Below are 20,539 nucleotides of genomic sequence, written 5' to 3' on the forward strand. Positions count from 1 at the left end.
GGTGCCTGGAGTGAGGGAGGCCCACGCCAAGTCTAGGGAGAAGGTGCTTTATTCTGGGATCTGCGTACCAGGCTGGCTGGGGTGCTGGAGTGGGAAGGGGAATCCAAGGAGCAAACCAAGAAGGTCCTAGGGCCAGCCTAGGCCTCCACGGCCCGGCCGTTGATGACGCGGATGTGGCGGATGACGTCCTGGATGGCTTCAGATGTTGTGCCCTGGCCCCCGATGTCCGGAGTGTGCATCTGTAGGACACAGGCAGGCTCGGCACACACCAGGCCCTGCCACCCCCCGCTGTCTCCTGTGACGTGCAGGACTGGGATTGCCACAGGAGGGAAGTGGCACCAGCTAAGGGCCAGAAGATGGGGCCAGATCCAGTACCATCCTCCCCTGGGGGCTGTGGTCAGTGCATGAGGCGGGCTACAGGAGGCTGCAGGGGGAGACTGGGCGGGGCAGCAGGGTAGGGTGCGAGGGGAACCTCACATTCTCATTGTCCATGGATGCCAGGACAGCCTTACGGATGGAGGTGGCATAGGAGTGCAGCCTAGAGGATGGGACAGCCAGCCTTCAGTCCCTGGGGCCCGGAGGGCTGGCCAGGGGCTTGCGGGGCACTGGGAGCCACTCACTTGAGGTGGTCCAGCATCATGCAGCTGGCCAGCAGGGTGGCCGTGGGGTTGGCGATGTTCTTATTGGCGATACTCTTGCCGGTGTTCCTCGTAGCCTGGGGAGGCAAGACGAAGGAGAGTGGGTGGAGGGCAGAAGGATGCCGGGCAGTGACTCTGCTCCTGTGACACGTCCAGAAGAAGCCACTCCACAGGGACAAAAGCCCACCAGCGGGTGCCAGGGGTTGGGGGAAGGTGTGGGGACAGATAGCTTATGGGGACAGGCTTTCCTCGTGGGGTGGTGAAAATGTTCTGGAATGACCTGGTGGTGACGGCAGTACAACCCTGGATATCCAAAAAACTACTAAATCATGCATTTTGAACGGGCTAACCGGATGGGATGAGTGTGCCTCACTAAGTCTGTGAACAGGAGAAAGGCGGCAAGCCGCGGCACTGCCACCGGCACTCACTGTTTCAAACACCGCGTACACATGGCCATAGTTGGCCCCAGCCACAAGGCCTGGGCCCCCGACCAGTCCCGCGCAGACATTGTTGACGATGTTGCCATAGAGATTGGGCATCACCATGACATCAAACTGCTGGGGCCGGGACACCAGCTGCGGGACAAGGAGGGGGCTGGCTGAGGAGCAGATTCGGAAGCATGGGTGAGAGAAGCCCAGGGCACTCAGGGCAGGGGGACAGCACTGGGCAGGCTAATACCTGCATGGTGGTGTTATCCACAATCATGTTCTCGAAGGTGATCTGAGGGTAGCGGGCTGCCACCTCCCTGCAGCACTGGAGGAAAAGCCCATCGCCCAGTTTCCTGGTGGGGGGTTAGGAATAGGACACCAGCTTGGCCATCGCAACAGTCAGCCAGAGGGACGGGGCGTGCAGAGGGCCCCAGGAGGCTGGGGTCTGAATTCTAACCTGTCCCTCACCAGCAAAATGGACAGAATCCCACCCCACCTCCCCTAAGTGTGGGTTCTGGCAAGGCCTCGAGGGCAACAGGGCACTCGCCTAGGGTGGCACCTCGGTGGGTAGCTGGGCTTTTGGACCACAAATCCCTCAGAGCAGGCCCAAGCAGGCCACTGCAGCTGCTTCTGGACTGCTCGCAGAGAGGTCAGGGGACATACATGATGTTGGCCTTGTGCACGGCCGTCACTTTCTTGCGCCCGCTCTCCTGCGCCAGCTTGAAGGCATACTCGGCAATGCGCAGGGACTTGGCCTTGGTGATGATCTTCAGGCTCTCCACCACTCCCGCCACACTCTGAGGAGGGCATGGGGAGAAGAGACCCATGTGCTACTGAAGAGCAGCACTGGCCAAACAAGCTGGCGCGACCGGGCCACCGTGGGAAGCAACCCTGTCTGCCTATTTCTGGCTTCTCCCTCGGGCACAGCCCCTGCCCTCTAAGGGTACACCTGTCCCTGGTTCCTTAAGCTCTCCCCTTAATCTTGACGCTGGGGGGGCTCATCTCGGGCCCCCCATGCACACCTCATGCTCCAGGCTGCTGTACTCGCCCTCTGTGTTCTCCCGGACAATGAGGATGTCTATGTCCTTGTGCCGGGTCACCACGCCTGGAAGGCTCTTACAGTGGATGACGTTGGCATAGAGGTCCAGGCTGGTGCTGGGAGGGGACGGAGAAAGAGGCTGCTAGGCCTGACAGGTGGCTGACTGGAGCCAGACTCCACTGGCTCACCCCACCTTAGCCCCACCAAGCCCCCAGCCCGCACACCCGGATCTCACCGAAGGATGTTGTTTCGAGATTTGTGCGACGGTGGCAGGTTATGGTTGGTTTCGATGTTGCCTACAAAACACAACACAGGCTTAGTGGCACTGCCCATCCCCGCCCCACCTCAGCAGGGCAGCTGAAGGCTGCCGGGGTCAGAAGACTTGGGGAGCAAAAATGTTTCCTGAACACTAGAATGCTAGAATGCAACTTCCAGCCTAAGCCCCACGAGGCTACACGCTCAGGGATCTCGAAGGGCACCTGGTGCAGCAGGTGCTCCATGAATAACCCCTGAACGACGGAATGAACAAGTCAATAAATGAATAAAGGCTGGCAACCAGCCAGGCAGCCATGCCATTCTCCATCCAGGCTCTGGAGCAACAGAAAGTGACCACTCTTTACTAACAGGTTGGCCGGCCAGGCTGGAGCTAGCAAGGTGGCCTTGGCGGTGTTACTGCCAAGCCCCCGCATCAAGGCACCACACTCAGAGGCAGGCGGGGGCTGCCTGGAGAAGGCCACGGATTGGCCGGACCCTACCCTACGACCCAGGACACCTGGAGGAAGGGAAGCAGAGGCCAGTGGCCGCTGGAGACAGCAGTCAGAGGGCGCCAAGCAGAGGCCGCCTGCTGGTGAGCGGTACCCCACCCAGACTGCTCCACTCACAGCGCGGGGGTCCCCTGTGGCTGGCACAAAGGCCCCTCTACTTGACTGCCAGGGCCTGGGGCTCCCCCTGGGTTCATCTTTGCTCACACGCTCCTCACACAGTGCAAGTAATGGGCTGAGTGTGCAAAATGAGCAATGGAAGTAGTTTAAGGACCTCAAGTGAAGCCCCAAGAATCCCTGCCTGGGCTGTGCCATCCACCTCCAGGCTGGCTGCAGCCGAGGAGCCAGGCAGAGGGTCGGAACTGCATCTCTGTGATACCTGGTTTGTGAAGAAAGATGCTGAGGGTCAAAGCTGACCCCAGCAGAGAGGACTGTCTCAGGAGGGAAGGAGGGGTGGGAGGGAACCCATCAGGGAGCCCGTCACTGGACAGGCTCACACACAGCTGCTCTCACTCGAATCCCAGCATCGCAGCGCAAACAGGCCCGAGGAGGCGTCCACCCAGTCTCCAAGCACGAGGGTCCTCTCTAGCCAGACAAGCCCTGAAATCAGAGCCGTGGGGCCCCACAAGAGTCAGCTCAGAGGGAGGTAAAAGAAATCACAGGGGCTGGGCACGACGGCTCACGCCTGTAATCCCAACACTTTGAGAGGCTGAGGCGGGCAGATCACGAGGTCAGGAGTTCAAGACCAGCCTGGCCAACATGGTGAAACCCACTCTCTACTGAAAATACAAAAATCAGCTGGGCGTGGTGGCGGGCGCCTGTAATCTCAGCTACTCGGGAGGCTGAGGCAGGAGAATCGCTTGAAACTGGAAGGCAGAGGTTGCACTGAGCCGAGATCACACCGCTGCACTCTAGCCTGGGCGACAGAGCGAGACCCCATCTCAGAAAGAACGCAAGAAAGAAAGCAAGAAAGCAAAAAAGCAAGCAAGCAAGAAAGCAGGAAAGCAAGCAAGAAAGCAAGCAAGCGAGCAAGTAAGCAAGAAACGAAGGAAGAAAGCAAGAAAGAAATCACACCTAGGGCCCCATCCTGGCCCCTGGCCCTGGAGCTCACCCTTCAGGGCCACGCGGTTCCGGCGGATGGCCATGATGGCATTGCGAATGTCCTCTTCATCAGCATTGGAACTCACGTGCACCTCTTCAAAGTCCACTGGTACACATGCGTGCCTGAGGCACGGCAGGGTCAGGGAGGCTGGCCCAGACCCCCCCGCACCTCCTCCAGGAAGCCTGCCCAGGCTACCTCTCTCCTGTTGCTACCTGCCCTGACCTGGCTCTGACTGAGAAGGGACTGGGCCCACCTTCACTGACTGATGGGGACACGCTTGAACTCCACAATGCACACTGTGGCAGGACTGGTGCCACCTTCCCCGAGCCCAGGCCAGTCTGGCGGGATCACAGGCCATGGGACGCAAGGCCTGGGCTTACAGGTCGTCTTGCCATGGCCTCACCGAGTGCTTCTGGGCGCAATGCCCCTCTTGGCACAAAGTCCTCAGGGCCCCCTGGCTGAGGACAAGGCGGGGACCCAGGAGCTCCATACCTGAAGACGGACTTGACATGCAGCATGAGCTCTGGCCCGATGCCATCCCCTGGGATCATGGTCACCGTGTGCCGCCCGCCATACTTAGCGGACGGAGGCTGTGGGAGGCAGAGGGTGAAGGTGGGCCTTCGGGGATCCCACATGCCCCCAGCTCGGCCCCCATGGGCTCAAGCCAATTCCCTTCTTCCCACTGGCGCTGACCCCACAGGCTGCCCCGTCACAAGGTGCCAACTTGGGGCAGCCCCGTCCCAGACAGGGCTGCTCATCCAGGGCTCCTGGGTCAGCAGCAGCCCACCCCCACCTGGAATTTAGTTAACCCCAAAGCAACTAAGAGCCCCCCAAACCTAACAGGCAGAGAAGAATACTCACAATTGTTTGTTCCTAGAAAGGATGAGAAAGGAAGAAGACACAATCAGCCAAGGTTCCAAGAGCAAGGCCGTGACCAGGAAAGTGGGACCTTTTCCCAGGGGGATGCTGGCTAGTACAACTCCCAGAAGAGGGGTGGGTAGCCCCTGGAGACCACGTCTCAGAGGACAGGACACAGGCCGTGCACACACGCGCACAATTGCGGCCACATGGAGAAAGACACATGCGTGGGCACGGGCAGGTACTTACTGAAAAGATGTTCCTCGAGGGGACCTCGTGGGCGCCTAGAACCTGGCAGAGACCAAATGCCAGCGGTTGGTTTGATGTCTAACCCAGAAAGCCAAGTTGGAAGGAAAAACGGACCGTCCCCACTGTGCCCAGGCAGGTCCCCTGTCTGTGCAGCATGGCCCACTGCCAGGGGCACAATAGATAATTAGCTCCAAAGCCTCAGTCCCCAGGGCCGGCCCGCTGGAGCACCTGGAAAGTAGAAGGCGCTCCAGCCTCCTGCCTCCTTCCGCTCTTCAGAAAATTTCTTAAAAGGCGTGTCCCTGCCCTCCCTCCTCTTTTTTGCTTCTGATTATTTTTTTGGCCAGTTATTCCCGCTCAGCGATGTTTGTAACATGCAAAAACTGGCAAACTAACCCTGGTACAGCAGGGAAATCATTACAACAAACCACAGATCCATGACAACAGTCACGTTATCACTTCGCCGATCACTTTTTCTTATTACAAAAGCAGCATGTGGTCGCTACAGAAAAAGCAGAATAGGGAGATAAGAAGGTAGCACCCAGCCTCCGGCCTCCCTGAGACAAGCACTGCTGGCCCCCTGGGGAATGGCCCTTCGGCATTAGAAATCGAAAACAAATGTGTAGGGACATCCAGCCATTTCTGGAAGGTTGATAACAGAAACCCAACTCTAGGAAGGCCTTCGGAAAGGACTGCTGGATGCCGAATGTCCCCAACGCCCTGACTGGAAATGCCGGACAGCTTCAGAGCCAAAGCTGCCTGAGCCAAATGTGCCAGGTGCCAAGTGACCTGCTGTCCTGGAAGAAGCCCCACCTAGAACACACCTGAGACGGTGGCAGAGCCAAGGTCTTCCCTGTCACTTGGGGATGCCCTGCCACTTGACCACCAGGCAGCAGCAAAGTGTTCCAGCCAATGGCAGAAGCATCATAGCCATTGGCCAAAGAGCCATGCCTTCCAGCTAGAAGTCCAGAAAGGCTCGGGCGGAGTCTGACCTCTCCCTGTCTGTGTGTCCCTGGCCGGCACTCATCAGTCCAAGCCAGGGGCTAGGAGAGGGTGCCCACAAGGACCAGAGCCCCGAGGATAGCTCAGCTGATCTGTGTGGCACCTGGATCTGCAAGCACAGGCACGGTCGGGACTTTTCTGTCTTCTCTCTAGCGCTTATCAACGGGTCGGGACTTTTCTGTCTTCTCTCTAGCGCTTATCAACATCTGAAATCATCTTATTTGGGGGCTCTTGTAAGCACGCAGAAAGCGGCTTCGATGGACCTTCCTCCAGGGAGCTTTCCCTGATGCCCTAAGGCTACTGAGCTGGGACCCTAAGGCCCTACTTACCCCCTTCCCTAGGTTATCACTGCATTGCTCCCTCCTCAACCCCTGAGCCCGAGAGGAGGGGCCAAGTCAGTGTGGTCCAATACTGTCACCCTAGGACCCAGCACAGTACCTGGCCCAGAGCTGGCACATAAGGAACATTTCCTGAGTGAACAAGCACATCAGAAAATGAAAAAAGATCTGGAGACTAGGGAGGCCTCGGTCCAAATCCACCATCCACTCTTCTTGAGATGGCTTCATGGCCTCATCTGAAATTCACAGAACGGAGGTACCTACTTTCCGTGACTGTTGGAAAGATTAGGGGACAGGAGGTGTGTGAGCTGCTCACAGTAGCTAGTGCCACACAGCACGCCTGCCCCTTCACCCCACTGGCCCCTCAGGTCAGAGTTCAAGGCTGGTGTCCCTGGGAGGTCACGGGTGGACCCCTGCAGCTCCCAGCAGTAGTTCCTCCTGGGCTTCAGCTGTGGCAGCAAGCCAATCTCCTGAGAGCATGGACCTCCCTCACAGATGGCAACATCACCACCAGGGCTGAGCTGAACCTCTCTGCCACCCGGTCCCTGTGCCAGGTGTTCCTTTGGGCTTTGGCAAAAGACCCAGAGAGCGCTCCAGATGGACTTCCCTGACCTTACTGTACAGATGCAGGCACCTTCCTTCAGGAGGTCGCAAAGGCTCTGCCTTGTGCCCTGACTTCCCTGTGAAGCCACCAATCAAAGGAGCCAAGTGTGAGGCAGGATGCAATATGTACACGCCTCCCGCTCTCCCATCACCCTTTCATGGTTCCATGGAAAGAAAGAACATCCACACCCCACATCTTATGCCTGCTGAGGCTTCTGTCTTTGGCATATTTCTGTTGGACCATGTGTCAATGGTGGCTGCATGTTTTCCTATGGCGTCCAAATCAGTGGGATTCAAGACCTGGGGTTCCTCTGTAAGGGTTCTCACACCCAGGACGGTCAGTCTCAGGGCAAGGCACTGCCCAGCTACCCACCGTTCACTGTCCCCTACTCCCACCCCAACGCACACACAGGCACACACACAGGGGAGGTCAGGGAGGAGGCACACATGTCTTCACCAAGAGCCTACAGGAGCCCAGTTGCTGGAGCCATCAGAGCCTCTGGAAAGCCACTATATACTGCCGTCCTTTCAGCAGCAAGGTGGGAGAAGTCAGCATCGTCAAGAGAATTTCATTAGGCACAAGCAGTCTCCCCCAGAGGTCAGAAGGAGAAAACATGGCAAGTAGAGATGTCCCTGGGGAGTGGCCGCAAAGTCACGGAGTTCTGGAAGGTCAGAGTTGACAGGATCCTTTGAGAACATGAAGTCTCCTCCCCTCTGGGTTCCAAAGGGGAAACTAGAACCCAGAGAGAGGAGGAAATGGCCTAAGGCCACGCAGTGGCTCAGTGTGGGAGCATGGCCTAGAGGTCAAACCTCTTACCCATCAGGGCCAGGTGCTGGCTGGCAGCTGCTTCAGATGGTTTCCAGCCCACCTAGGACCTAAATTAACCTCTTCTTAAATAAGTGTAAGGAAAGAAGACTCGGACCTGAATACGCAAGACCGCACACGGAGAAGAGCAGAAGCAAAACCCCCGCAGCCTCAGAAACCCTAGCTCCTTCCCATTCCAGGCGCCTCGAGGGGAAGGCATCTGGGGCTCTAAGACTGGGGGACTATGGGGGATGACTGGCAAAGTCCGGTTCTTTGCCACCGGGATAGGTGGCAAAGCGGTCCACGAGAGAGGAAACCGTGGAGAAATTTGAGTCCCGGAACCGGATTCCCGAAGCGGTTTGAGAAAGGCGGGCCGGGATACGTGAGTGACTGCCTCAGAAGGGCTCCTTCAAGGACACTAAGGAGGTGACAGCCGCCGTGGCCCACTCTCCCGGCCCGTCCGGAGGGCCCCCCGCCACCCGATGCAGACCCCCTGGGGGAGCCGGTCCAGGGCCAACTTCGGCCAATCCCCTCAGTGACAGCGGAGGCGGCCAATCAACCCCGGCGCGAAGCCCTTTCCCCGCCCCTGGTGGGGCCCCTAGCCAATCGGACTCCAGACTGCTTCGGGTGCGGCTACCCCACCGCTCCCCTGCGACCGCTGCCGCGGTCCCGTGGCTCTTTCCCTGCTCACCTCCCAGGGACGGCAGAGAAGGGCTGGCCCGAGCACCGCCTTCGCGGCGCTGCCGGCGACGGTCGCTACCTTCAGCGCCATGACGGAAAGTGAGAGCCTCCGCACGTCCCGACACGCAGATACCGCTCTCGCGAGAGTTCGACGGGGTGCGAAGTTTCGGGGACAGGCGCGGACCCGGTACTGCGCACGCGCGCGGTCGCACCGATTCACGCCCCCTTCCGGCGCCTAGAGCACCGCTGCCGCCATGTTGAGGGGGGGACCGCGACCAGCTGGGCCCCTGGCTCAGGGAGGGGCCACGTCAGTGCTGCCAGAGACGTCACAATGCCGGCCCAGCCGTTCGGTGCGCGATTGGCTGCCGCTGCCACTTACGCGTCGCTCTTCCTCGTTTGCCCCTCGTGTTCATGGGAGCTCGTTTTCTTTTCCTCTAGGCAGAGAAGAGGCGATGGCGGCGATGGCATCTCTCGGCGCCCTGGCGCTGCTCCTGCTGTCCAGCCTCTCCCGCTGCTCAGGTAGCGGCCCAGCCGGGGCTTCTTTCTTGCGAGCCTCTGACCCACGGCAGGTGGTGTTGGGGGCAGGAGGGATGCGGGGGTCCGGCCTTTCAGGGTCCGTCGCTGCGGGCCGGGCCTTCCCCCGAGAGGCAGGCGGCCTTGGGACGGGGGGACCAAAGCACCTCGCGCACGTTTACCGGCAGCCAGGCTTTTCCTTGTCTGCCCATACGAAGAGGAGTCCCCGAGCCTCCATGGTGCGCCCGGCCCCCAAGCTGCAGCACGGAACGTGACACATGTCCCGGCTCCCGCTCCCTGCGGGGTCGGACCGGAGCGAAGCTCTGTAGCGCTGAGCGATCGCGGCCAAAAACGGGGCTGGAGGAGCCACATAAGCTAGGAAGGGACCTCAGTGAGGAGAGGGAGCAAGAGCGGGGCGAGTTAGATGGGGAGCCAAAGGTGCGCAGGGCCTTGAGTGCCAGGCCGAAGACTGGCTTTTCCGGAGGGCCCTGCCTTACCCTTACCAGAGTTTTCGGCAGAGCCGACCAGGGGTCCCGTCGATTTGCATTCGTGAGGGGCTGAGGTCTGAACTCCAGAGTGTGTTTAGGAGGTGGCTGCAGCAGCCAGCCCCGGGCCCGGGGGCCAGGACTGGACAGGGGCGGCTTTCTCCACATTCCCTTTTCTGCCGTCCTTCAGGCCAGTAGCCTTGCTGCCTGCAACGTTTTGGCAGCCTAACTGGCCTCCCTTTCCGCACACTCCTCATCTGCCCCTCAGGAATTCCCTGAACTATAGTCAGGGACGTATCCAGAGGACAAGCCTGGCCATAAAACCCTTCGGGGGCTCCCCTGCGCCACAGGAAGCAGGCCCAACTTAGGCAGGACACAGAAGGGCTGGCGGGATCTAGCCCCTGAGAACTGCCTCCACGCTGTTCCTAGGGATCTGCCTCCTGTGGTCCAGACCCAGAGCCTTCTCTGACGTCCTCTGCTGAAGCCATCGTTCTGCCAGGGCACCACATTTGGACAGCGGGTGGCTGAGAACATTCCCACTTTGGGGAGCCTTTGTTTCACACCCTCTGATGTAGGCGGCAGCCTTCCTTTCCTTTGGGCCTCTGGTTATGGAGAAGGCTAAGGCAAGGTCCTTTCTCTCACAGCTAACAAGTTGTGCTTCTGGAACCAGAGTCTCTCCCGTTTACTTCTTCAGGAAACGCTGGGGCCAGTCTTCACCTTCTGTCAACTGGCCGGGGGCAGAGACCCTTTCTCTCATCTTGAAAGCCCCAGTGCATTGCCTGCCTGCAGCCCCCACCCCCGATGTCTCTGCTGAGGATGCCTTCAGTAACTCGTCCAGGCCGTTTGTGGCTCTGAATTGAGGCTGGCGTGGCCCCCGGGCCTCCGTGTCATAGGTCCAAGTGTTGGCATGTATTGTCCAGTGAATCCAGCCCCCACCTGTCCCCAGTTCGCTCTTCCTGCACACCTCCAGAAAGCCGGCCTTGCCCCTCCCCAGCCTTCCTTCACAGCCATCCCGCCTACGTTGCCATTGCATTTGTGACCGAGCACTTGGATCTGTCTCGCATATCCCACCTGGAAGGGGCAGGAAGAGCGCATGGGTCCCCAGCTGATCCGTGCTATGAGGCAGGGCCGGGCCATCCTGCCCTCAGACCGGGATACTCGAGCTGGCCTTACCCAGGCATCTCTCCCTCTTCCCCGCAGCCGAGGCCTGCCTGGAGCCCCAGATCACCCCTTCCTACTACACCACTTCTGACGCTGTCATTTCCACTGAGACCGTCTTCATTGTGGAGATCTCCCTGACATGCAAGAACAGGGTCCAGGTGAGACAGTGGGGTTTCAGACAGGAGGGCGGGTGGGGGGTGCTCCTCACTGCTAGTTGATGGGGGACCTGTGTCGATAGAGGGAGAATCAAGATTCCAACTCTTGGGGTGCCGGAGAGATCAGGGCACGGTGATGCCAGATCCTAGCCAGTGTTGACAGGTCACCTTCCTCACCTGCTTTGTGTGCTGTGCCTACACGAGGTAACCCTGGGCTCACCACCCGCTGTTTCCTGAATGAGTATCTGGACCGGGAGAAAGGGCCAGGAGTCAGCCCACCCCGGTTGCCATTGGCCAGTTTGTCTGTGTGGGTGTTTTGTTTTTGTTTTTGTTTTTTGTTTGTTTTTTTGAGATAGGGTCTCACTCTGTTGCCTCAGCTGGAGTGCATTGGCACGATCTTGGCTCACTGCAGCCTCCACCTCCCGGGTTCAAGCGATTCTCCTCTCAGTCTCCTAAGTAGCTGGGATGACAGGTGCTCGCCACCATGCCCAGCTAAGTTCCCATAAGTCCAAAGAAGGAAATGGGGCCTTTTTTGGGTATGGCCCTCTTAGGGTAAAGCACCCCTTGGGCAGCCCACTGGGCACCCCTGACCCCAGCACCTCCCTTGTAGACTCAGGAAATCACTCAGCCCTTTTGATCATCCCGCCCCTGCTCACAGTCAACAGGGTTCCTATGCGTCCAGTTAGGCCCGGCCATGGGGATCTGGCCTTGTGCCCCCGTAGGGAAGACCAATGCAGAGGGCCAGTCACGGGATTGGTGAGTGTTACTTGGTACCTCCTGCCAGGGACACTGCAGCCCCCAACTGGGCCTAGCCTGCCCACCTGCAGGCCGTGTGAGCAGCGCACAGGGCTCCTCTGCCCACACCCAGAGGGGGCAGAAGGTGACCCTGCCTTTGTTCCCTCACCCAGAACATGGCTCTCTATGCTGACGTCGGTGGAAAACAATTCCCTGTCACTCGAGGCCAGGATGTGGGGCGTTATCAGGTGAGGGGCCAATGGTTCCCTTGCTAGGGGGCTCCCTGCTCCCGGGTGTGACCTGAAGCCCCAGGGGTGGCCGGTCAACCAGGGCCAGGGGCCGTGGGCTCTGGCTGCCGGAGTGCTGCAGTGTCGGCACTGGTGGTCAGGGTGGCCCCTCCGTGTCCACTCTGCCCACACTCTGCTCAACACCCAACCCAGGTGTCCTGGAGCCTGGACCACAAGAGCGCCCACGCAGGCACCTATGAGGTTAGATTCTTCGACGAGGAGTCCTACAGCCTCCTCAGGAAGGTGAGGACTCCTGTAGCCCACTGTGCTCCCCTGTCCCTGGGGAGCAGGATGGGCTGGGTTGGGAGGTGCTGGCAGCAAGTCCTGAGCTGGGTGGCCTTTCTGTGATCCTGTCCCTTCCTCAGTGTCTCTTGCCCATTTCTCTCCTTTCCTTTTCTGGGGCTTGGGCCGGTGTTCCTACCTGTCTTTCCCCTCCCCTCCCCACCCCCACACGCCAGGCACCCCTGACCCCAGCACCTCCCTTGCACCTCCCTTGCAGGCTCAGAGGAATAACGAGGACATTTCCATCATCCCGCCTCTGTTTACAGTCAGCGTGGACCATCGGGTGAGTGGCCTGGTCCCTCCTCCTTTTTGGGGTTGTTGGGCTGAGTGAAGGTTATCCTCTCCACAGCCCCAGCTCTGCTGCTGGGCCGTGATTGGCCAGCATGTCTTGGTTCCCCTGGCGGAAGGTGACCAGGGCTGGCTGGTCTGCTCACCTGTACTCCCCTGAGCTGGCTTGTGATCTCCTTTTTTTCAGGGCACTTGGAACGGGCCCTGGGTGTCCACTGAGGTGCTGGCTGCGGCGATCGGCCTTGTGATCTACTACTTGGCCTTCAGTGCGAAGAGCCACATCCAGGCCTGAGGGCGGCACCCCAGCCCTGCCCTTGCTTCCTTCAATAAACATCACAGGACCTGGGACTGCACAGGACCTGGGGCTGCTGGCTTGCGTTATTGTGCCTTCCCCCGACTGGGAGAGCTGGGGGCCCAGCGTCCTCTTGTCTGCCTGGCCAGCAGAGGCACCAGGCAGGAAAGGGGTGGGCTTTGGTCTAGAACTCCCGTCCCTCCTCCCAATGAAGCCCCCCGTCTGGTCCCCACAAAACCCTGTATCCACCTTCCCAGTGACTCTCTCCTGGTTCTGGTGAGGGCAGTGGGCTTGGCCACCTCCTCCCCAGGTGGCCCCACAGGCTCCATGGGGAAACAGCCAGCCTGGTCTTCATCACAGCTCCTGTGTTGGAAGCCCCGGGCCCATTCCGCACGCAGAGGGGTTTCCCTGCACTGCTTTCGGGCACAGCAAGTGCCCCCACCCTGCCCATGCGGCGTGCAGCTGTCTGGGCTTGGCCCCTCCATACTCCACACCCTGACCATGCCACCTGGCTTCCCGTGTGCTGTGCCTTCATGGGATATTGAGAAAATACACACCCATGGCCAGGTGTGGTGGCACACACCTGTAATCCCCACACTTTGGGAGGCCGAGGTGGGAGGATCACCTGAAGTCAGGAGTCTGAGACCAACCTGGGCAACATGGTGAGACCCTGTCTCTACAGAAAAAATAGAAAAATTAGCTGGGTGTGGTGGCATGCGCCTGTAGTTCAGCTACTTGACCTGGAGAGGTCAAGGATACAGTGAGTCGTGATCACAGCAGTGTGCTCCAGCCCGGGTGACAGAGTGTGAGACCTTGTCTCAAGAAAAAAACAAAACCCCACCTGTGAGGGGTACATCACTTCCTCCTAGAGACACCTCTCCCAAGAGCACCCGCGCCCTCAGGACACCAGGCAGGCATCCCGGCCTGGCACCACGCCTGGAGTTCATCCTGCACCTCTCCCATCAGCCTGATTTTCAGCTTGGCACATGCTGGCTCCTGACCAGCTAATGGTATTCCTTAGTGGCACTGAGGGCCCATGAGGCAGTGAGGGTCTTGGAGTCCAAAGGGACTGGGTGGAAATCCCAGGTGAGCCCTTCCCAGCCATGGGACCCAAGTCGGTTTGCTCAGCTGCGAGGCAGTGACAGTGCCTACTCCAAGGTGTCAGGGAGTCCACTGGGACCAGCCACCAAAGTCCTGACATCTGGGTCACCCATTGGCTGTTACTGGAGAGAAATGGAATTCTCCAGAGAGGCTGCCTTTTTCTTGTTTGTTTGTTTTTGAGACAGAGTTTCGCTCTTGTTGCCCAGGCTGGAGTGCAATGGCGCAATCTCAGCTCACTGCAACCTCCACCTCCCAGGTTCAAACAATTCTCCTGCCTCAGCCTCCCGAGTAGCTGGGATTACAGGCACCTGCCACCACACCCGGCTAATGTTTCGTATTGTTGGTAGAGACGGGGTTTCACTATGTTGGCCAGGCTGGTCTCGAACTCCTGACCTCAGGTGATCCATCCATCTCGGCCTCCCAAAGTTCTGGGATTATAGGCATGAGCCACCGCGCTCAGCCAAGGCTGAAAAGGAGGGAAGGCCCAAAACTTGCCTGGGAGGTAGGGGCTCCTCAGTACTTCAGCTCGGTGGCTAGAGAGAGCAGCACTGAGGGGCCGGGGGTGTCAGGAGCAGGTGAGGACTGCCTGTGACCTGGGTCTGTCAGAGTCTCGGGGAGGGGGTCATCTATATAAGCAGGGAGCCCTCTTCCCACCCCCAGGCCTTGGGAGGGGGGTTGGGAGGGGCCGGCTGCCAAGAATAGGTGGGCTTCTAGGAAGAGCTGGGCGCTCACCCCAGGACAGTGCAGCAGGAGCGTTGGGGCTGAGGGGCCACACCAGCTTTGCCAGCAGATGCAGTTTCTAGATTCCAGAGGAGACTCAGCAGCCTGTGCAGGGCGGGTGGCTGGGGCAGGCCGGGTGCAGCAGGCACCGGGGCGACTGTCGGGCGCCCGGTTGCTCTTTTTAGTTCTGGCTCCACCACGAAGCCTGATGGCCGTGGGACCCAGACGTGAAGTTGCTATTCCAGGGCATCAGTAGCCAAGTGCTGCCAGCCTTCCTGGCGCCACCTCTCCCTGAGCCAGCCAAGGGACTCCAGGCTCCAGGCCCATATGAGCCCACATCCCGTGAACACTGGAGGGCACCCCACCATTGGAAGAAGGGGGGTGCCTTTAGGACCATCCAAGTGAGCCCCCCAGCAGCTAGAGGGAGGCCAAGGGGACAGTTTGACCTCCATCTCCAGTCAACTCCGGCCAATTCCCTGTGGCTGGGCCCTTGGAGCCTTGTTCCCCCAAGGGACAGGGTTAGGGAGCTGGTCAAGGGTTGGATGTGCCAAGCCCTCATGGGGGTGAGGCCCTGAGGGGTGGGGGAAGCCATTATCTCCAGCCTCTGCCCTCTGCTCCCCTTCCTGCCATCCAGCCAGCAAGCCTCTTCCCCTCTTCCCTGCTGGTGGGGTGTGATATGCCAGGCTTTCCCTCCCAGAGCTGCTGTGCGGCAGAGAGGCAGCTGGCACCCTTGTGATCCAGCCTTCCCTGCAGCGGGACTCCAGGCTTCTGGGAACAGGCACTGGGACTTTTTCCCCCCACAGCCTTCTTAGCGTCTAATCCGTCACTGACTTGCTGCCCCGATCTCGGCACTTAAGAGAAGTTTAAACGAAAAAAAATTTTTTTTGAGACGGGGGTCTCACTCTGTCGCCGAGGCTGGAGGGCAGTGGCATGATCTTGACTCACTGCAACCTCCACCTCCCGGGTTCAAGTGATTCTCCTGCCTCAGCCTCCTGAGTAGCTGGGATCACAGGCACCTGCCACCACGCCCGGCTAATTTTTGTATTTTTAGTAGAGACGGGGTTTCTCCATGTTGGCCAGGCTGCTCTCGAACTCCTGACCTCATGTGATGCACCCACCTCGGCCTCCCAAAGTGCTGGGATTACAGGCGTGAGCCACCGCACCTGGCCTATATTGTCTTCTTTCTGGAGAATTTGAATGCCTCCTTGACCACTTCCGCTCCTTCATGGCAGCACTGCCCACTCCAGGGAGTGCCACTCCCATGAGAGGCTGTGCCCATGTTTTCTGCGGAGTTGTCTTTGAGGCCCTGACCCTGCCCAGCATTGAGCATGGCTCCTAGGACTTGATAGAGCCCGAAGGTTTGCTGAGAGCTCCCAGGATGGAAGGGCCCTGGCAACGACGCGGTTATTCATCTATCTGGCCAAGACATCCACTAGGTGCCTTCTGCAAACTGAGCACCTTGCTAGGCACTGTGGGATCACCAAATGGGGAGGGCAGCTTCCGCCTTCCAGAGTGGACGGCATCAGGCCCTGCTGGGAGGGATGGGGCTGGAACCCACTTCTCTGTGGCATGTGCCAGCAGCGGGCCCCACCTACGGTTTGGCCCATGGAGATGACCGTGGCCCTTGCCTGGAGGCTAGTCTGAAGTCAGGCTTCTGCCAGCCTTCTGCATCTGGTCACCACCCTGTGACTGTGACACCTCTGAAATGACTCAGGCGACTCTGGTATATCTCCTGGAGTGCCACACAATTGTCCATGGGAGGTCACAGTCACTGCTCCTGACATCCAAGACAAACCGAGGGCTGCAGCGTGGCTTTCAGTTGACCCTAACCCTGCCCCCCTCTTCCTTCTCCCACCCCAAACTGACAACTCTTTCCCCAGCCCAATAAGAATGAACACAGGGAGGCCACGATTCAACCAAGTACAAAGGCAGCTTGCTTTATTCTTGAGATGCAGGGGGGGAAGGGGTGGTGCAGTCTGTCTGCCTCCAATCTGGGGCTCTCCAAGCCTAAGGGGCACCCCACAGGCAGCCTAGTTCACACGTGCAAATCCTGAGGAGGTTGGGGGCCTCTCCTTCCCAGTCAGCCCACCGCCTCTCACTGGGGTCCAGGTTGCGGATCGCCACCAAGTCCTCCCCAGGCCGCATGGCCCGAGGTCTTCCACTGCTGCTCATGGGGCTTGGTTTCTAGAGCCCTCACCATCTAAGCACCTTCCTCAGTTCACTCAGAAGAGAAGCCCCTGCTCCAGATGGTGTGGGGCGCAGAACGGGCTCTGTGACTTCTTGGTGGACACCCTGCAGGACCCCTCCGTTCCTGCAGTCTTGCTCTCTCTGAGTCACTGGGGAAACAGGTGCCCCCCAGAGGCTCCCCGTTCCCACACCTCAGAGTGGAAGCCACCAGAACAGCTGCTTCCCATTCCTCCCACCTTTCCCTCCCCTTCCCTCCCATCCATCCCCAGCCCTCCCTCCCACTCTTCCTCCCCAACTCCCTTCCCAGCCATCAGTGGAGAGGGGAGTTCCACTTCTGCCAGGCTGCCTGAAGGAGCTGCCAGCCCCCAGGGCAGGTCCACAAAACAAAACAACTATTGGCAAGCACAGAAAGGGAGAAAAACCACAAAAATCAGGGGTGCCTTTGTCTACAAATAACTGCAGTGCGCAGCGGCGGGGAGAGGCCGCGCTCAGCAGCGAAGCCGGACACTCTCTTGTGCTCCTTTCAGCTCAGCTTCCCTGTCTGCAAGTACACGGGTCGGGTGGAGAGAGCACTGGGTGTGTGTGTGCGTGCACGTGCAAGCACACGCAAGAGCATGGGGGATGGGGAATGCACACGCACAGCTGAAGGGGTGCCCATCACAGGTGTGCCCCCAGTGCTGGCCACTGGCATGGTCACTTTACTTGGGCAGAAGGAAGAAAAGCGTCCCTTCTCCTCAGGGGCTTCTCTCTGCTAACAAAGCCCTGTGCGCACACCCAGACGAGGAGATGTGTGCGTGCGCACAGCGAGCACGCGCGCGCGCACACACACACACACACAATCTCTATAGGAGAGTGAGGGCCGGGGCCCCAGGGGGTTCCCTGGGCCTGGGCCGTGTACCCGCCCGGGCAGCTCACACGGTGGTGACTGAGAGAAGAGGGTTGTAGACCCGCTTGCCATCGGCGGAGCGCGCGCCGTGGGCCAGCATCTCCTGGATGGTGATCCAGTTGTCCAGGATCTTCTTGTTCCGCTTCTTCATGGTTTTGCGGTGGCTCAGGGCAATGATGTTGAGCTCGGGCTTGCTGTCGCCATTCTGCTGCTCCCGCAGGCACTCCAGCCGGCTCTGCATCATGAACTCGCGCCGCTTCCGCTGCTCACGGGCCCGGATCAGGTGCTGCTTCCGCTCCTCCTTGCTCCAGTAGCGGCCCATCTTCATCTCGCTCACCGCGTCGTCGTCGGTCGTCATACCGCTGCGCTCCTCCCGGATCTTCAGGGCACGGGCTTTCAGCAGCCGATCTCGCACGGGCCGCTTGGCCACGTAGCGGGTTCCGTCGCTGCGCACCTTCACTTTCCACTCCATGCGCGGTGCTTCAGTGGCCGCGGCCGCCACCCCGCCCACCCGAGGGCCACCGGCCAAGCTCAGGGGGCCGTGGCCCAGCTCCTCCAGGCCTCGCGTCGGGGCCAGCTGCACGCAGCTGTGGTAGTGCTCGCCCTCCTGGCCCTGGCCGCGGTGGCGCCGCGAGAGGTAAGGGCTGCTTTCAGGGCCCACACGCTCCAGGGTCAACCCCGTCTTGGGGTTGCGGCGGCCGCGCTCCTCCGCGTGCTGCCTCCGGCCGGCCTCAGGATCCCGGGAGAGGGACCGGAACTTGGCGGGGCTCCCCGGTGGAGGAGCTGCCTTGGCGGGGGTGGCAACAGCGGGGCCGGGAGGGGTCCGGTTCAAGTTGGAGTTGCCGGCCATGGCCCGCCGCAGGGGGCTCTCGGGCAGGGGCTCCACAAGCAGCGGGGTGCTGCGGCAGCTCTCCCCAGTGTTGTAGGCGCTGGTGCTGTCCTTGTCCGACTTCTCGGGCAGCTCGGAGATGTCGGACAGCTCGTGCTTCTTGGGCTCGCTGGCCGCCAGGTCGTAGAGGCTCTCCTCCTCCAGCAGCCAGGCCTTCATGCAGCGCTCACGCAGCTGCTGCATCTTCTGCGCCCGCAGTATGTTGCGGCACTTGAATTCCAGGTGCCTTAGCTCCTCCTCCAGCATGGCCATCTCGTGGCCCAGGCTCTCGTTGCGGTTGACGTCCAGGGCGCTGTTGCCTCCGGAGGCCCGGGGAAAGAGGAGGCCCAGCTGGTTGCCGTTCTCCAGGTGGCACTTGATCTCCAGGAGCTCACGGTAGCGCTCATACTCCTCATCCGTGAGGCCCGGGACGTCGCCCCCTCCCAGCCCCGCCCCCTCGGCCAGCAGAGAGTCCATGCTGAAATGGAAGTCCCGGCTCTGCAGGGCGTCCCCTTGCAGGCCAAACTTGCGCAGGCTTCCCGGGGTGTTGGTGGAGCTCGGGGGTTCGTCCCCCAGCAGGTCGTGCTCAGAGCTCTCTTCGTTCCGGGTGCTCTCGTCAGTCCGGCCCACCCCGCTGTCCAGCTCCTGGCTGTTGCTCAGGCCTGGGCCGGCATCGGGAGCCCCCTTCTCCTCTTCGTTTCCGGGCTAGAGCAGAAAGGTAAGTACCGCTCAGTTAGGTCCCACGGACAGGGATGTCACGGGATGTCACAGGAGGATCGGAAGGGGCTTCAGGCCTGGTTCATTTCCCTGCCAAGCATTGGGAGACCCTGCACAGCCTCAGCGCCTTCCACCCAGTTCTCTCCTCCTCGCCCTCCCCACCAGCGCCCTTTTCCTTCCTCACCTGCTGGGCAGGGGGTGATTTCAGTTTACGAGCACGCAGCTCCCCCTCATTCTCAGAGCCAAAGTCATCCAGGAAGTCATCCCGGTCGCTGTCCTTCCACCTTTTCGCCAGCTGTGGAGACAGGCCCTGGTGTCCCCACAGCTTCAAGGACCTCCCCATATACCCTTCTTGTCTGCTCTGGACCCCGCACTTGGCTTGTTTCGGTGAAGCTCAGCAACCTGGGGGCAGCGTCCCAGCCCCCTCAGCCTTCAGAGGCCAGGAGGGGAAACGGGCCCTGAGAGACCCCTGCCCACCCGCCCTCCATCAACTCCAGGTCGTTGGCACATCTGTGCCCTAGTCACGGCCAGCAGCTTCCAAGACAGAAAGCCTGATGTCGTGGCCCCGGGTCGCCCTGCCAGGCATACACACCTGACTCTCAGGTCGGGCCACCAGCAGGGAGATGTTGGTGTTCTCTTCCTGGCTCAGGATGGCCACCGCCTCTTCCCGGTTCTGGACGTCTACACCGTTAATCTGAGGCAGGCAGGATACAATCAACAAGCATGCTAGGGCTGGCCCTGGGGCGGACCCTGGGCGGGTGCAGGGAGCCCAAGCACTCTGGGCTCGGCTGGGCTAGGCTGGGGCTTGAGCTCTGGGAGGATGTAACTAAGTGGAAGGTACCAGGGAGAGGGCGGCCTGACTCTTGCAAGAGCAAATGTGTGCTCAGGAGAGCATGGAGTGGGGCAGAGGGAGAGGGGCCAGGAGGTTTCAGAGCAGCAGGGGCCCTGGATGCCAGCAGATCCCATAGGCACACGGGAGCCACTGGGGTGAGTGGGCAGGAGAGAGATGAGACTCAGCCCGGGTTTAGGACACGGCAGGCTGCTGGGCCTCAGGGTTAGCTCTTAGTGGGAGAGAGCTAGGGACTGGCTAAAGAGAGGTGGCTGGGCCGACGGGCACAGCGGGGCCTTGGGCCAGGCCTGCAGCCTGCAAGTGCTCACCTGGATGATGCGGTCTCCCTCACGGATCCGGCCGTCTTTGGCTGCAATGCTGTTGGGATTTACCTGCAGGACACACGCATCTTGGGGACTTGGTGCCTAACATGCCCTTTCGGTAGAAGGGGGCAGGCTCACCTCAGGGGCCCCCAAAGCAAGCTGAAGGCTCTCTGGCTCCCCTTCCAGCTCTGAGCCCCAGGAAGCAGAGG

The 20,539-nt window shown here is 60.1% G+C and overlaps 3 protein-coding genes across 14 annotated transcripts in view, besides 5 other annotated features; 1 reads left to right on the forward strand and 2 right to left on the reverse strand.

Moving 5' to 3' along the window:
• Positions 34 to 8,641, reverse strand: IDH3G (isocitrate dehydrogenase (NAD(+)) 3 non-catalytic subunit gamma). Of its 2 annotated transcripts, NM_004135.4 has the most exons (13): positions 8,512 to 8,641; positions 5,076 to 5,117; positions 4,830 to 4,841; positions 4,461 to 4,558; positions 3,978 to 4,090; positions 2,341 to 2,401; positions 2,089 to 2,221; positions 1,730 to 1,863; positions 1,317 to 1,419; positions 1,067 to 1,213; positions 621 to 715; positions 478 to 538; positions 34 to 239 (listed from the first exon to the last, which is right to left on the reverse strand). In NM_004135.4, exons 1-13 carry the CDS (start codon positions 8,590 to 8,592, stop codon positions 138 to 140), a joined length of 1,182 nt encoding a protein of 393 aa, NP_004126.1. In that variant the 5' UTR covers positions 8,593 to 8,641; the 3' UTR covers positions 34 to 137. The 2 variants fall into 2 exon arrangements, with proteins under 2 accessions (NP_004126.1, NP_777358.1); NM_174869.3 differs by having other exon boundaries at positions 34 to 538.
• Positions 8,004 to 8,731: an enhancer, noted in NCBI's record as "H3K27ac hESC enhancer chrX:153059193-153059920 (GRCh37/hg19 assembly coordinates)". NCBI's record gives its function as "activates a minimal SCP1, AML or CMV promoter by ChIP-STARR-seq in primed H9 embryonic stem cells {active_cell/tissue: H9 hESC(primed)}" and the evidence as "EXISTENCE:reporter gene assay evidence [ECO:0000049][PMID:30033119]".
• Positions 8,004 to 8,890: a biological region, named in NCBI's record as "H3K27ac hESC enhancer GRCh37_chrX:153059193-153059920".
• Positions 8,191 to 8,340: a silencer, noted in NCBI's record as "silent region_21071". NCBI's record gives its function as "represses an Ori minimal core promoter by ATAC-STARR-seq in GM12878 lymphoblastoid cells {active_cell/tissue: GM12878}" and the evidence as "EXISTENCE:reporter gene assay evidence [ECO:0000049][PMID:35858748]".
• Positions 8,425 to 12,765, forward strand: SSR4 (signal sequence receptor subunit 4). 6 transcript variants are annotated; one of them, NR_037927.2, is made up of 8 exons: positions 8,715 to 8,851; positions 8,940 to 9,020; positions 9,929 to 10,122; positions 10,700 to 10,818; positions 11,724 to 11,798; positions 11,991 to 12,080; positions 12,337 to 12,402; positions 12,595 to 12,765. NR_037927.2 is itself a non-coding variant. In NM_001440796.1 (7 exons), exons 2-7 carry the CDS (start codon positions 8,954 to 8,956, stop codon positions 12,697 to 12,699), a joined length of 522 nt encoding a protein of 173 aa, NP_001427725.1. In that variant the 5' UTR covers positions 8,425 to 8,688; positions 8,940 to 8,953; the 3' UTR covers positions 12,700 to 12,765. The 6 variants fall into 6 exon arrangements, 5 of the variants coding, with proteins under 5 accessions (NP_001427725.1, NP_001427724.1, NP_001191456.1 ...); NM_001440796.1 differs by lacking the exons at positions 8,715 to 8,851; positions 9,929 to 10,122 and adding an exon at positions 8,425 to 8,688; NM_001440795.1 differs by lacking the exons at positions 8,715 to 8,851; positions 9,929 to 10,122 and adding an exon at positions 8,425 to 8,657.
• Positions 8,631 to 8,890: an enhancer, noted in NCBI's record as "active region_30040". NCBI's record gives its function as "activates an Ori minimal core promoter by ATAC-STARR-seq in GM12878 lymphoblastoid cells {active_cell/tissue: GM12878}" and the evidence as "EXISTENCE:reporter gene assay evidence [ECO:0000049][PMID:35858748]".
• Positions 14,975 to 15,249: a transcriptional cis regulatory region, noted in NCBI's record as "candidate enhancer chrX.2654 targeted for multiplex CRISPR interference". NCBI's record gives its function as "positively regulates SLC6A8 gene expression with high confidence in K562 cells {active_cell/tissue: K562}" and the evidence as "EXISTENCE:mutant phenotype evidence [ECO:0000015][PMID:30612741]".
• Positions 16,432 to 20,539, reverse strand: part of PDZD4 (PDZ domain containing 4) — a 28,379-nt gene continuing 24,271 nt past the window's right edge. For all 6 annotated transcript variants that reach the window (NM_001303514.2, NM_032512.5, NM_001303512.2 and 3 more), the window contains 4 exons: positions 20,337 to 20,399; positions 19,771 to 19,872; positions 19,363 to 19,473; positions 16,432 to 19,166 (listed from right to left, as the gene is read on the reverse strand). In NM_001303514.2, coding sequence (NP_001290443.1) covers positions 17,619 to 19,166; positions 19,363 to 19,473; positions 19,771 to 19,872; positions 20,337 to 20,399 — 1,824 coding nt within the window. In that variant the 3' untranslated portion in view covers positions 16,432 to 17,618. The remainder of the gene's footprint in view (positions 19,167 to 19,362; positions 19,474 to 19,770; positions 19,873 to 20,336; positions 20,400 to 20,539) is intronic.

The sequence above is a fragment of the Homo sapiens genome, chromosome X (genome assembly GCF_000001405.40).
Source record: "Homo sapiens chromosome X, GRCh38.p14 Primary Assembly".
Lineage (NCBI taxonomy): Eukaryota > Metazoa > Chordata > Mammalia > Primates > Hominidae > Homo > Homo sapiens.